The sequence below is a fragment of the Homo sapiens genome, chromosome 9 (assembly GCF_000001405.40).
Source record: "Homo sapiens chromosome 9, GRCh38.p14 Primary Assembly".
NCBI lineage: Eukaryota > Metazoa > Chordata > Mammalia > Primates > Hominidae > Homo > Homo sapiens.
In genome coordinates, this window is record NC_000009.12 from 6,209,702 (window position 1) to 6,225,137 (window position 15,436).

At 37.1% G+C, this 15,436-nt stretch overlaps 1 protein-coding gene across 13 annotated transcripts in view; it reads left to right on the forward strand.

The window, feature by feature from the left end:
- IL33 (interleukin 33) overlaps positions 5,448-15,436 on the forward strand; it is a 42,835-nt gene continuing 32,846 nt past the window's right edge. For 6 of the 13 annotated variants that reach the window (XM_047424062.1, XM_017015285.2, XM_047424061.1 and 3 more), the window contains exons 1-2: positions 5,448-5,501; positions 6,033-6,151. The gene's annotated coding sequence lies outside the window, so the exon portion shown is untranslated. Of the gene's footprint in view, positions 5,502-6,032; positions 6,152-15,436 lie in introns of those variants that run through there. The other 7 variants (NM_033439.4, NM_001314046.2, NM_001199640.2 and 4 more) reach the window with 2 other exon arrangements.

Genomic DNA, 15,436 nt, shown 5'->3' on the forward strand with positions numbered 1-15,436 from the left:
ATCACTGGTTCTTGCTTCTGACTGCTCAAATCTGCTACTGAATCCCTCTAGTGAATTTTTTATTTCAGTTATTCTACTTTTCAACCTCAGAATTTCTATTTGGTTCCTTTTTATAATTTATATCTATTATTTCTATTATTGATATTCTCTATTTGCAAAGACATAATTTTCATGGTTTCCTTTAGCTCTTTAAATATATTTAAGACAGCTGATTTAAAGGCTTTGCCTAATAAGTCATATATCTGGTCTTTCTCAAGAATGATTACTGTCACTTTTTAAAGTCCATACTTCATTGTTTGAGTGTCTCATAATTTTGTGTTGAAAGGTGGACATTTTGCACATTATAATACAGTAACTCAGGAAATTCAGTTCTCCACATCCCCATGGTTTGTTGTTGTTGCTTGTAGTGGGTTGTTGTTATCTGTCTGTTTAGTGACTTTTCTAAAACATTTTTCTACAGTCTGTATTCTTTGTTATGTGTGGTCACTGAAGTCGGTGTTCCATTAGCTTAGTGGTCAGCTAGTGTTATGACAATGATTTCCTTAAACAACTAGAGCCAAAAATAGAAGCTGAAGAAAGAAAAAGAAAAATTATTCCCCTAGTGTTTTCAGATTGGCTCTGTGTTGGGACATGCCTTCAACGCATAGCAAAGCCATTTACAACTCTGCTTTGGTCTTCACTTCCTGCTTGCATGGAACTTGAAAGTCAGCCAGAGGTGAAAGCCTGGGGTCTTCTCAGGACTTTTCTGAACATGTCTACCTTCCTAGCAATGAGTGTTGTCTTCTTGATTCCCCAGTATATGTGGGAACTTTTCAAAGTCCTTATTCCCCTCATGTATCTCCTTTTCTAACCTCTTTCTTCCCTGGCTTTTTTGATATGTCTATTGCTTGTTCTGACTGTTATCCCTTGCCCCAGGCTGCTGCAGCCAATACTTTTACCTTTTAATGCCTTTGGCAAATGCCACCTGAGAAGCCATGCCAGCCCTGGAAACACTTTGAATCAGATGAAACAAAGGCAACTCGTCACACTAGTCCTTAAGGGAGCCCCCAGACAGGCTGAAACACACAATCACAATTATTTGAGAAAAAGGTCCATTTAGTCCCTCTGGCACTAGCAGCATGCACCTGGAATATGGGCGACCATCCTGATAACTGCCATTGATCTGGGGGATGGCAGATGAGGGATAGCAAGTAGGCAATTTAAAATGCCACAGCACTCTCTTCTGCAATGCATCAACTTCTTCTTTCTTCATTAACTTTTCCATGGCTGTCATAAGCTTTCGACTATATGCAGAGTTCTGTGAAAGTTGATTTTGACAGTTTTCGCCAGCTTATTAGTTGTTTTTGCGGAGAGATAGACCTTGAAGTTCCTTATTCTGCCATTTTTGGTGACATCAATTGAAATAATTCTACAACTGACTTGATAGATAAGAATATGTTTAATTTTGCAAATGTTCCATGTGTGCTTGAAGGGAGTATGTATTCTCTGCCTGTTGTATTGTGTTATTTATATATCCATGTGTCCCAGCTCATTGTGTCAACCAAAATTTCTATATTCTTCCTAATGCTTTTCCTGCTTGACAACGTTGCTAAGACATAACAAATTTCCCATTAGGATAATAGATATTTGTATCTCTCTCTGTAATTACTTTTATTTTCATTTTATGTAGTTAAGACTGTGTTAACAGGTGTTTGTGGGTGGGGATTTATTTCTTCCCAATGAATTTAATTTTATCATTATTCAGTAGCCTCTGTTTTGTTTTGTTTTGTTTTGTTTTGTTTTGTTTTTGAGATAGTGTTTCACTCTTGGTCTATGCCTAGGCTAGAGTGCAGTGGTATGTTTAAAGCTCATTGTAGCCTTAAACTCCTGGTCTCAAGCACTCCTCCTGCCTCAGCCTCCCAAGTAGCTGGGACTACAGGCATGTGCCACCATGCCTAGCTAATTTTTAATTTTCTTTTGTAGAGACAAAGACTATATTGTCCAGGCTGGTCTCAAATTCCTGGGCTCAAGCAATCCGCCCACCCCAGCACCCAAAACACTGGGATTACAGGAAGGAACCATCATGCCCGATATATTGGTCAGGGTTCTCTAGAGAGACAGAACTAATAGAATAGATATATAAAGGAGTTTAGTAGGTATTAACTTACAGAATCACAAGTTCCCACAATAGGCTGTCTGCAAGCTTGAGGAGCAGGAGAGCCAGTCTGGGTCTCAAAACTGAAGAACTTGGAGTCTGATGTTCGAGGGCAGGAAGCATCCAGGACAGGAGAAAGATGTAGGCTGGGAGGTTAGGCTAGTCTCTCTTTTTACATTTTTCTGCCAGCTTTATATTCGCTGGAAGCTTATTAGATTGTGCCTACCATAACTAAGGGTGGATCTGCCTTCCCCAGTCCACTGACTCAAATGTTCATCCCTTTTGGTAACACCCACACAGACACACCCAGGATTAATACTTTGCATCCTTCAATCCAATCAAGTTGACACTCAGTATTAACCATCACACCTGACCAGTAACTTCTTTGTATCTTTAGTATATGTCTCTTTAAAACAGCATTACATGGATCTTTTCTTTTCAAGTCTAAGTATCTTAGCTTCTTCGACTGGCACCTTTAGTCCATGTAATGAGATTATTGACATATTTGTGTTAAATCTATCATGCTTTGTTTTTTCTCTTGGTATTACCTTTACTATGCTTTTTTGTCTCTTCTTTCTTGATTTCTGCTGGATAGACTGCTATTTTTTTCTCATTCTGTTTTTCTCCTCTAATCATTTGGAAGTTAGTTATATGTCCAATTTCTATTATTCTGAATTTTTTCTAGAAATTTAAAAATGAATACAGAGCTCAAAATTCAGCAATATTTTTACCCTCTTCCTGAGCAATACAATATACTTGAGAACTCTCATTCCTATCATCATCTCTCCAGACATATAGGCTATTTTTGTAATGTATTTAGTTCTAGTTTGTTTTTCTTAACCTTACAAGATATTATTGTCAGTATTTACCGTTAATATGTCTTAGCATTACCTCAATATCTATCATACTTTTGATTCTTCAATTCTGCTTATATTCAGGCCTACCATTTGGGTTCACCTTCCTCCATGTGAAGTATACCCTTTAAATTTTCATTTTTTAAGGTCTGTTGGTAGCAAAACATCAATTTGAACTTTCTTCCTTTGGGAATAAAATTGTGCAACCAGATCAAGTATATGTCTATGAGTCAGCAAAATTTTAGACAGTCACCCATATACCTTGCATCTACCCTGAAAGGAGGAAGTTAATAAGGCAGATTTGGGATTTGGGAAGTAGTGGGGTTAGGGATGAAGAACTATAAAAGTCACAAAACCTGGGGTAACCATATCTCAGTGTTTTCCTATTATTCTGGTCAAATGATTAATAACATTCTTTTCATTCTCAAAAATTTATGATTCAGATAACAAATTATACGATTACTAGAATAAAGTCTGTATGACCTAACCCTTAGTCGTCCTGCCTTCTAGAGCCATGCTTTCATCTTCATTCAACTAGCTACTTGAATAGCATGGAGTAACTTGTGGCAGTCCAATATTACCATTGAGTACAACCAGAAAGGCAGATCAGGAGAGAGCTGCTGAAGCACGAAGGATGAGGGGCTAAGATTCCATGGAGAGATTAGCTAACAGTAGTTAGCTACTTTTTAATAGTTACGAGAGCATTGGCCAAGGCAGGGAATCTGTATTTTACCAAGGTAGGAGGTCACTGCCAGGAGACAGAGAAATCACTGTTGATCGGTGTTGTGGGAATGAAGAGACAAAATTGGAAATTGGAAGGGCCAGGCCCCCAGCAAGAAGAGAGGGCTGGAGAACTGAACCTACATATAATGAGTTTCCTCTTCAAAACACTTGCCGAATTACGCAGCTGCATGGGGGCAAAGGCAAAAAAAAAAAAAAAAAAAAAAAAAATCAGCCTCTTAAAAGCAGAGCTGTGGTTTTAGCAGCCTTTTTGGTTTTGTTCTTGTTTCATAAAAAGTCAAGAGTTATAGTTCATGACTGCTGGGAGAAAATTGAATAATTTTTAGAAATTGTTTCATCCAGGCCAGACACAGTGGCTCACGCCTGTAATCCCAGCACTTTGGGAGGCCAAGGGGGGCAGATCACGAGGTCAGGAGATCGAGACCATCCTGGCTAACACAGTGAAACCCCGTCTCTACTACAAAATACAAAAAATTAGCCGGGCATGGTGGCGGGCGCCTGTAGTCCCAGCTACTCAGGAGGCTGAGGCAGGAGAATAGTGTGAACCTGGGAGGCGGAGCTTGAAGTGAGCTGAGATCACGCCACTGCACTCCAGCCTGGGCGACGGAGCGAGACTCCATCTCAAAATAAATAAATAAATAAATAAATAATTGTTTTATCCAAAAAAGAGCATAAGCCAGGGGGACAAAATAGCAGAGAAAAAAAGTAAGATAGTAGAAGCAAATTCAAATATATCAATAATTACAATAGATGTTCCAGTTCAAAGACAAATTATTGTCAAACTGGGAAAAAAAACCAGTATACTACTTATATGTGACACATCTTTAATGTAAGGACACAGAAAGTTTGAAAGAAAAAAGATGAAAAGAGATACACTATGTGAATACTAACCAAAAGAATGTTTGCAAAGCTCTGCTAATGGAGAAAGCAGACAAATGGACAAAGCAGACTTTAAGGCATGAAGCATAATTAGAGATAAAAAGAGAAATTTTTGAAATAATGAAGGAGGGTTCAATATACATAATAAAGATACATTATTCATCCTTTGTAATTTCCTCAGTATTTGCAAGAATTCCCAGAGTAGAGTATGCTAATATTCCCTTGGCTGTTACTTGTCACCCCTCCCTCCTATTTATTGCACACAGCTCAATTCCTGATTCATTCTTGTCATGTTGGCATCCTGTCCGCTTGCTTCACTGCTTTATCCAAAGGGCAGACATAGCCATCTTTCTTCATTACTCACAAATGCAACACTATGGCTTGTAGCAGATGATTGCTCAGGTTTGGGGATGATTAAAGGGGATTACTGCACAGAAAATGAAACAACTTTAAACAAGATAACAGAGTTCCTTAGTTGTTTTTTCCAAAGGGGACTCCATCATAGTCACATTTTCCCAAGCCTGGTCAGCCATCTGTTGCTGTCTCATTTTCTCTTTCCCCTGGATTCCAGAACCCTAACATTCTATCCTTCAACATGCCATGAGAAAAACTAAAAAATTCCTATTTCATTTTACAGTAAACTTTTTTCTGCTGCCCCTTTGTTTCAAGGTCACCCTTCTAATCTTGTAGATTGAATGGATGTAGAGGCTTGCTAGGGTAACAGTCCATCACAATATCCTTCTAAGTACAGCAGCAGTCTTCCTTCCAATGTGTGATCTTAGGATGTGGAATCAGTCCAAGTCTTAAAAGAGCATTACTTCATCCCTTTATTTTCTGCTACAGATGCCAAACGAGATGGAGAGAGGGTGAGTAGGAGCAAAATTTCTCATGAGGTAAGAAGAACAACTTCTCATGGGATCTATAGTACAGGATTTGCTTTTGTGATAAAGTATTATCTTCTGCGAGATTTTTGAGATGAATAGAAAGAAAAGATGAACAGTGGGGAGCAGGAAAGCCCGTCAGATATGTTGGAATACAGAGTATTTCAGAGCTTTTATTTGCAGACGAGCTGCTTATTACTGATAGGCCAAAGGGGGTCGCAAATTTCTATTATAAAGGAATTTGGAAGAATACACTGATCTCTTAATGAAGTTTGTAAATTAAGAAGCCAACGGCCAAAAGTGAATATATAAATGGCAACAGAATTTCAAAATGGACAGTGCTGAAGTTGAAGTTTAGGAGTTCAACTCCAAAGAGAGCCAAAACATAAAGTTTAGGGGCAGAAGAAGAATCATAATTGCTGGTTTAAAATATTCAGATGGAGGGAGGACGCAGAAAGTAGTGAGCCTTAGATGTTGACAGAATTGTAACTCTGTTGGCTCTTTACATGAGATTTCAAGCCTGCTAAAATCTCACCCGCCCAGATCTCCCTTCTAAGGCAATTTGGGTCTCTGCCAAACTTTGGCTAATAAAAAGAGTCTACAGACTCCTCCGAACACAGAGCTGCAGCTCTTCAGGGAAGAAATCAAAACAAGATCACAAGGTAAGACTGAATATTCTGGGAGATTTTTAGTCAGATTTTGCAAAGTTAAACCTTGGGAACCATGGAGAACTGTGTTTTTTTTTTTTTCCTGAAAAATAAATGATAAGGCCAATTTGTTATTATTGCTAATAGCAGTAAAAGTCAATGACAATAGCTGTTACTAACTTATAATTCCATTTGCTTTCCTTTGGGTGATTTGTAAAATTAATAAATTGCTGAAAGAGATTGTAATAGTTTTTATAGTAAATTCTGCCCCCTCCATGAAACTTTATTTTATTTTATTTTATGTTTTTTAAGAGATGGGATCTTGCTCTGTAGCGCAGGCTGGAGCACAGTGGCGTGATCCTAGCTCACTGCAGCCTCCAATTCCTGGGCTCAAGCAATCATCCCATCTCAGCTTCCCAAGCAGCTGGAACTACAGGCACACGCCACTATGCCTGGGTAATTTTTTTAGTTTATGTAGAGATAGGGTCTTTGCTTTGTTGCCAGGCTGGAAACTTTATAAAGCAAGTTGATAATTCTACTTCTAACTCCTAATGCTTACTCAAGACAAACATGCTTGCAATTGTTTACAAGTGGTTTTCAGTAAAAGGGGGACATCACTAAGTGTGGTGGTTCAAGCCTGTAATCCCAACACTTTGGGAGGCCGAGGTGGGTGAATCGCCTGAGGTCAGGAGTTTGCAGCCAGCCTGGCCAAGAGGATGAAACCCTGTCTCTACTAAAAATACAAAAACAAACAAACAAAACTAGCTGGGTGTGGTGGTGGGCACCTGTAATCCCAGCTACTCGGGAGGCTAAGGCAGGAGAATCGCTTGAACCCAGGAGGTGGAGGTTGCAGTGAGGCAAGATCATGCCATTACACTCCAGCCTGGGTAACAAGAGCTAAATGTCATCTCCAAAAAAAATGATGGAAACTTTGAATAAAAAATAGCTTCACAAAGAGGATTAGAGATGCACTAAATGAAGTAGTTTGGAATTGTTCTTTAGTTCTTTTTTCTTAATGGGACCTGACCCTGGACTTTAATCTCTGATCTGCACAGACAAAACCAATTCACTGAAACCATGGCATGGCAGTGAAGAGTTTAATTGACACAGGGCCAGCCAGCCATGCCACAGAGGATTCAAAGTTATTATTCAAATCTCCCCAAAAATTTGGAGGCTAGGGTTTTTCAAGGTTAGTTTGATGGGCAAAGGGCTTAGGGGAATAGGTGCTGCTGATTGGTTGGGAATAAAATCACAGGCATGTGAAAAATGGTCCTCGTGTATGCACTGAGTCTATTTCTGGGTGGGAGCCACAGAGTAGTCACTGGTCATCAGAAATGCAAAAGCCTGAACAGACATCTCTGAAGGTCAATCTTAGCTTATACAATAGTGATGTTATTTACAGTAGTCACTGGGGAAGTTGCAAATCTTGTGACCTCCAGAATCATGGCTAGTAATCATTTTACTATGCCTACATCTTAGCAGAATTCAGGACCCTCTCAAACTCCTAACTTGGTGGTCTTTCATTATTTTTACCAAGGTGGTTTACTTTTGGTGAAGGGTTATTATCATTTAAACCATACCCTAAATTTCTCCCAAAGTTAGCTTGGCCCAAGCCCAGGAATGACCAAAGGCAATATGGAAGTTAAAAGCATGATGGGGGTTGGTTATGTCAGATCTCCTTCACTGTCATAATTTTCTCACTGTTATTTCTCACTGTCAGTTTCAAATACAAGAATTGAGAGGTACCACCCCCTCAAAAATAAACTTTTGTGGAAAAACAAGGAATTGATACCCTAAGTGGAGAAATTCAAAAGCTCATCAGTTTTGCTACTATTCTTCATTTACAGACTTTCCTTTGAAGATTGTTTTCTTTTCTTTATTCCTTGCTTTCTGCCTCCTCACAATTTTCTCTGCCTTTTCTTTCCACACATGAATATATGCCTCCAGACTATTTTAATTAAGAAAATAGCACAAATCCAAAAGTATGTCCTGTGGCTGCATACAAGTCAGAGACTTGAGAGTGAAGTGTCTAGGGCAAAGACCCGTATTTCCTCCTCTGCACTGTGCTTCTCCCGCTGAAGCATCCTTCTGTGCCACACTGGGGTCCTATACTGTTTCCAACAGTCTTACTTATTGCTTCTCAAATTTGTCTTTTGAATACTTAATGCTCCTCTTTTGATTTCCACCCAGAAAATGTACCTCTCTGAGTTCAGAAAACTTCAGAATCCTCTATTTCCCAAAGTTTAGGGTGATTGAACTGAATCACACAGCTCGGTATTGTCTGAAACAGTTAAGAACTTCTAGCACAAGCATCGCACTTTCCTCAGCTCATATTTCACATTTTCTCCATTCTTCTCTGAAAGGATCCTGGACCTTCTACCAATCTTTGATTGGTTACTTCATAATTGATTTCTTAAGTAACCTAGATGTTTATCTCTTTCACATCATTGTTTAGCTTACAGTATCTACAGCCAGAAAGCACCTCTTTCCCTTTCCCATTTATAGAGAGAAAAGAATCCTGAGGCAAACTTTCACTTAGGGATTGAAATAGCCAGAACTGAAAACAATGGAAGAGATTGAGAAACAGGAAATGTCACTCTTGGCCAGGGTTTCCCAGTGATTAAGGAAATAGAGCTTACAACTAACTTCGGGGAAATAGGCATGAAATTCAATTGTGAAAAGTTAAGCTCCATCAGGGAATTAAATCATTACAGGGAAATACTGAAGAAGGGTCAGCATTGAGATAATATATATATGCATATATATATATACACATATATATTCTCCCTATATATATATTTTTTCTCCCTATACATATGTCCCCATATATATATCCCCATATATATATGTTCTCCATATATATATATGTTCTCCATATATATATATGTTCTCCATATATATATATGTTCTCCATATATATATATGTTCTCCATATATATATATGTTCTCCATATATATATATGTTCTCCATATATATATATGTTCTCCATATATATATGTTCTCCATATATATATATGTTCTCCATATATATATATGTTCTCCATATATATATATGTTCTCCATATATATATATATATATATATATATATATATATATATATATATGTCTACATCAGAAAATTTATATGTCAGTAAATCTGATACCATAAGGGTTTTTCTGGAGATGTCAGTCAGACTGTGCCAAAATCAATGTATCTTTCATTCAAGTTGAAATTTTGGCAAACATGGTGGAAATCAAGAGGTTCATTGGAATTCACCTTCTTTGTATCTCAGTTTGTAGCAGGAACATTTAGAAACATTAAGACCAAATATAAACTCCTGAAACAGCAGAAAGAAAGGGACCTTAATTCTATCAACAACAAAATGATTGGGTTGGGTTCAAGAACTTCAGGAAATCATGGTAGAACGTCTAATCTCTTCGGTTTCCTGTAGATTCTCTGGTGCTGATGTCTGCAAGCAAAAGTAACTTTTAAGGGGACACAACCTTAGTGGGCCTCAAAAAGTTCAGGCAAAGTTCAGTATGCAGGGAGTGGTAAGGGGGAGTGAGGAATTGGGGGCGCTTCCTCCCTATAGCGGACTCCTGGCACATGCTGCTCATGTTATTATCGGTAGATTACAGTATACCTACGAAGGTATTTATTTTTGTTTTGTATTTTTTAAGTGAAGAGTGCAGTATAGCATAATAGTAAAGACACAAATTTTTAGAGGCAGTCAGGCCTCCAGTCCATCATCCATCATTGACCAGCTGTGTAATTTTGGATCTTACTTAACTTTCCTGAGCCTGAATTTTTTTCTCTTGTGTAAAATGTGAAACAAACAAGCAACAAAATCCCACTCAAGACAGGTGTTGTGATGGGTAAAACAAGTTAGAAGCAGTCATCAAAGGTAATTTATTAATCACTGACCATTTACTAAAAGTGAGACATTTATCTTCCACATTATCCCTCACAGCACCTCTGTGAGGTAAATATTATCTCCATTTATGAAATTGAGACAGTGGGATTTGAAAAGATTTTAATACTAACCCAAAATCATAAAGTCAGTAAATTTCAGATCAGAGATTAAAGTCCAGGGTCAGGTCCCATTAAGAAAAAAGAACTAAAGAACAATTCCAAACTACTTCATTTAGTGCATCTCTAATCCTCTTTGTGAAGCTATTTTCTTATTCAAAGTTTCCATCATTTTCAAATATGAAAATATTGATGAAGTGACATTAAAACCTTCTGTCTATTTCCTTCAGGGCTACATTCACCTTTTGCCCTAGGGAAAGAGTTCCTGCCAGCCATTGTTCTCTTCTGTAACTTTTTTTTGCCATTCCCATTGCTATTTCCAGAACTAAGAAGTTCACCCACAAACTTGGCTGAGCGCTTTACTTTTAATCAGCACCCAGTTTACATCTAATTCCCCTCCACTTTGAACATTCCATAAATTAAATGATTGTCATAATTTTCCCTAGCCATATTAGTGCATCTGAGACCTTTTGCAATGGTAAGAATGTTTTGCTCATTATTTCCGACATAGTTCCTAGCAAAGATTCAATATTTCCTTAGAGTTTAACAGAACTTCATAGTTTTGTGTGTCTGCTGTGCTCAAATCTCAGCCACTCTAACTTCTTAGCCTGCTGGCTTATTACTGGCAATTGTTTAAGAAATGCTATTTAAGCTGTTTGTAATTTCTTTTTAGGGGACTATATGCTTTTCTCCACTTGTTCTTTTCTTTGGAGAATTATTAGACCCAAACATGAACTTCCTCAAATCTGAATTTATTAGTTCCAAAGTTTTTCCTCCCTAAATTTTATTTTTCCATTATCTCTTATACATATATATTATTTGTCCACATTCTTTAGCAATCCTGTTTAACAATACTTGATCAGTAGTCAGCATAACTGCTTCATATTTGTAAATTATTGTTATTGTTATTATTATTATTATTTATTTTTGAGACAGAGTCTGTCACCCAAGCTGGAGAGCAGTAGCTCGATCACAACTCACTGCAGCCTTGACATCCGGGGCTCAGGCTATCCTCCCACCTCAGCCTCCTAAGTAGCTGAGACCACAGCCATGTGCTGCCTCACCTGGCTAATTTTTTTACATTTTGTAGAAATGAGGTCTCACTATGTTGCCCAGGATGATCTCAAACTCCTGGGCTTAAGTAATCCTCCTGCCTCAGCCTCTCAAAGTGCTGGGATTACAGGTGTGAGCCACTGTACCTGACCCATAATTGTTAAGTTTCCTTTAGTAATATTTCATTCTAAACTTTTGAACAAGTTTCAGGCACAGAAATAAGTACCAATATTCATTCTGATGTAATTTGGTGACTATCTCCAGCTTCCTGTTTTTTCCCCCATAAGAAAAAAGGTCCATATTACCTGCACGTATGGTGGCATTATTTTTTCTTCACTGACTTATTCAAGAGCCATATGGTTTGTGGAAACTTAATCACAATTGTCAGTATGTGGTGGTCATTTAATATAAAAAATTAGATGCTATTAACTCAAAGGAGTATAAGCTGTTTTACAAAAAATGTTTGGAGGATACCGTGCCTAGGACCTGACAGGTAATGCTTACATCTGGCTGTCCAATTATTACTACTTTCCATTATGTCAAGTGGAAGAATTTCTGCTCAGTGCTATAAGGCCCATGAAAGCAGATTCAACATTTAGAAGCATTAAGGTCATTTGCACTGTGATGTGACAGAAAAAAATATTTTTAAGTCTTTATATTTCTTAATTCATAAAAGTATAAAACTTAGAAGTCTATTATTTTGTCAGCATCCAATTTTTTTCTAGGCATTTATGGCAAAAGCTGGTAAAAGAGCATCTGGGTTTAGACCCGTTGGTTCTCCTTACTATCTAGGTGGAACCATGCAGCAACTAGTAACCTCTAGAATGGCAGTTCGCTGTACATATTTTATGAAAAGTGTCTTGGCAAAGGAAAGGCTACCAATTATATTTATTTCTCTGTGCATCAGTGGGTACACTCAAGAAGAAGTCATATCTGTCCAGAGTGGGAAAATAATTTAGCCTTATCTTTGGGGAGAAGAGAGGTGTTTAACAGAGTCTTTTCATTTTAGTAGCTTTCACACTAAGCCCAGCTACCAGGTAAGTAAGGCTGAGCCAACTAAGAATTCCACAGAGAAATAATGAAGTCAGCAATTTGGGGAATAGCTGGAGTAGCCCACAAAGGAGGCAAAGTGAAAAGCTTGTCATACCATGGTGGTCAAGCTTCCAGACCTTTGAGTTGCATTTTTAGATCACCGCACAAGGCAGTTCTGTTAAAACTTTATGGAAATGAAATATCCAGGGTGCAGATTGTGGCTTATTTTATTCAGATAAATGACCAGGAAGTTTCATATCTATGAGAAGAAAGCCTCTGTACTCTTCAGTTTTAAATGGCTTGTAATAATCAAATTTAATTTCATCTAACAATGTTGTGTGTTAGCAGGCAGCCATTTGGTTGTACAATAAAATCTCATGCTTTCTACCCAGGTGATATTCAAAATATTTAATAGCTGGCATGGCATTAGCAAAGAGAAATAAGAAAGGAACCAGCCTTGCAGCATACCAGCTAAATACCAGCATTGAGAGGGACTCTCATTTTGGCTTTTGACTATGCCAGCTAAGTTGAATGGTGTGGCAGTGAAAGTGTTGTGGAATATATTACATGCTTTACAAAACTTTTCATAACCTGTTCTATAATATCAGTTATTTCTGTCGCTATTCAATAAGCATATCTCAAACATGAGAAAAAAAGCCTGCAAAAGTTATGCTTTCTGTAACTTTAGTCTTGGCACAAGGAAAAACTTTCACATATTTTTTGTTTTAGTCAAATTGTCACAATTTAGCACATGGAATCCCCTTTATACTAGCCAACTTGTTCTTTTAAAATATAACCACAGAATTTTAAATAATGCATTCCTGCTTTCAGGCAGCAATTTCTTTTTAATTTTGAAAGTGTTGATGTTGTATTAACTGATTTTTTTTTTACTTGGTAGCTACATTTGTTCCTGGAGAATAGGGAACAGTTGACTTTATGAGTAGAATGTTAACTGAAGATTGATTTTCTTTCTTTCAAGCTTTTTAATTCAGAAATATATCATACACATAAACTAATATGTGGAACGCATATGTAAGTGTAAGTTCTGGAGAAAAATAATAAAACAAATACCTGTGTATTTATCATCCAGTTTAAAAAATAGAATATTCCTTATACCTTTGAAGGCTCCTCTGTGTCACTACCTAATTGCATCTCCTTTGGTTTCCCCCAGAGGTAACAACCAAGAATTTGTGTTTATTTTTCCTTCCTTTACTTTAGAATTTTATGAAGTTTGATTTTCAAAGTCTTGGCAATTCATTTCATTTTGTCACTATTTGTCCCACAATGACTTAAGGCATGATTTACATGTATATGATATTCATAATCATTTTATAGACAAATTTATAAACACAAAAATTTTTTGTAAATGAACGTAACTGATGTTTTACTGTTTTGCAAAAATAGAATAGTAATAACAGTACTATTACTGGTAATCTGCACTTTTTTTTTTAAAAGAGTACCTCAAAGAGTTACTTATAAGTTTTTAAAATCTTGTTCTGATACAAAAGATTTTCAGTTTATTTTTTCTATTTTTTGATATATCATGTTTTTCTATCATATATAATATTATTTTCTTGATTTTTAGCACAGGAATTTACATATCCATGTTATACTAAAATTTTCTTTAAAACATAACATTATTTAAACATTAAAATGTTTTAAACAATTCAACCATAAAGATATTATTAAGGCAATGTCCAGAATACATTAGTTGTTTGCCATTTCTTTAAAGGATTTAGAAAAAGTCAATGCAGATTATACTTACATGAAAAATAAAGATAATTTATATCACTTGATATACTTTTAGCTGCAACTGGGGAACACAGAACTGAACAAGGCTTAAAACTTAAGGACACTTTTTGCTCGCTTAATCAGAAGTTTCGTCGGGCAGTTTCAGAGTTGGTGTCAAAAATCAAGGATATCATCAAGGACTCAGGGTCTTCCCACCCTTCTACTCTACCATCCTCAGAGCATCTATGATCTCTCTTCATGGGAAAAAATGGTTAACCCAGCTCTGAGCATCAGATACTCAGAGGAGCCAAAGGAGTAGAAGCCAAGAAGCGCTTACTCCTCACATGCCCCTTATTTCAAGGAGAAAAATGTTCCCAGAAGTCCTAGGCCAACCCCTTCTCTTGGTCCTAAATTTTAGAGACTAAAGTCCTTCTTTCCCTATTTATATAAGCACTTAATTCATCCTTTCAGAAACTCCTCTTGTTATTCCTTGCTATTTCCTAAAGCTGCCTTCAGATGAAGGCTCCCAGAACCAATTCCAGTAGCATCTAGTGGCATATCTATGTAGTGGGAATAGAACTTAGGCACACTTTCACTGGCTCTAACTATATAACTGTAAAATCTGGAATTAATATCTTATTAATGTTTTATGTGTTTGAGAAATGTGCCATACCCAAATTAGCCTGCTTTTCTACAAAGGAACTAATTTAAAGATATATATTGCATCCTGTTTTGAAGATGGGTATCAAAATCCAAAGCTTTGCCATCTGAAAATCTCATGCTTCTCTTTCAAAACAAACAGCAAATCAGCTGATAGGATTTAGAGTACTGCCCAAAGAACTATTCTTGTTAGCATTTGTAATTAAGTCATGCAAACCACTTTAGGCTTTAGAATCTGGGTACTATTCCCAGAATCAAAAGTGACTTAATAGGCAAGTTCTCACCCTTGGTTAAGCAATCTGTTTGATTGTATTGTTGCCAATTTCAAATGCTCTCCTACTTTTTGGCATGTATTTGTGGTGAATTATGAATAGAAATAATTTTTCATGCATACATGCACATACATGCAATAGTATCTTTTCATGAACAAACAGGGTGATACATTTTGATATATCGGCATTACCTACCCTTGCAAACTGTTTTCCTTTGTGGATCTAAGGTATGAACTTTTCAGAAAACAATCCAAGCCAGGTCCAAAGCAGTGAACTCAGGCAGAATAGATTTTTTTTTTTTACAGTTTTGTGAATTTATTTGATCTACTGACTCAGGTATATATAATACATGCTGTGGCTTGGCACCTGCCTTTCCCCTGTGTATTTCTCAGCAAAGCCTTTGTATATGCTGAGATTTGCACCCACCTCTTGTCACCCTCACCACCTTCTACAGAATGCTGTGCCAGAACTGATTTCCATGACTGAGATTTAATCACATTTTCTAAAACTTTCTCACACTACCCTCACACTGTGTTATAAG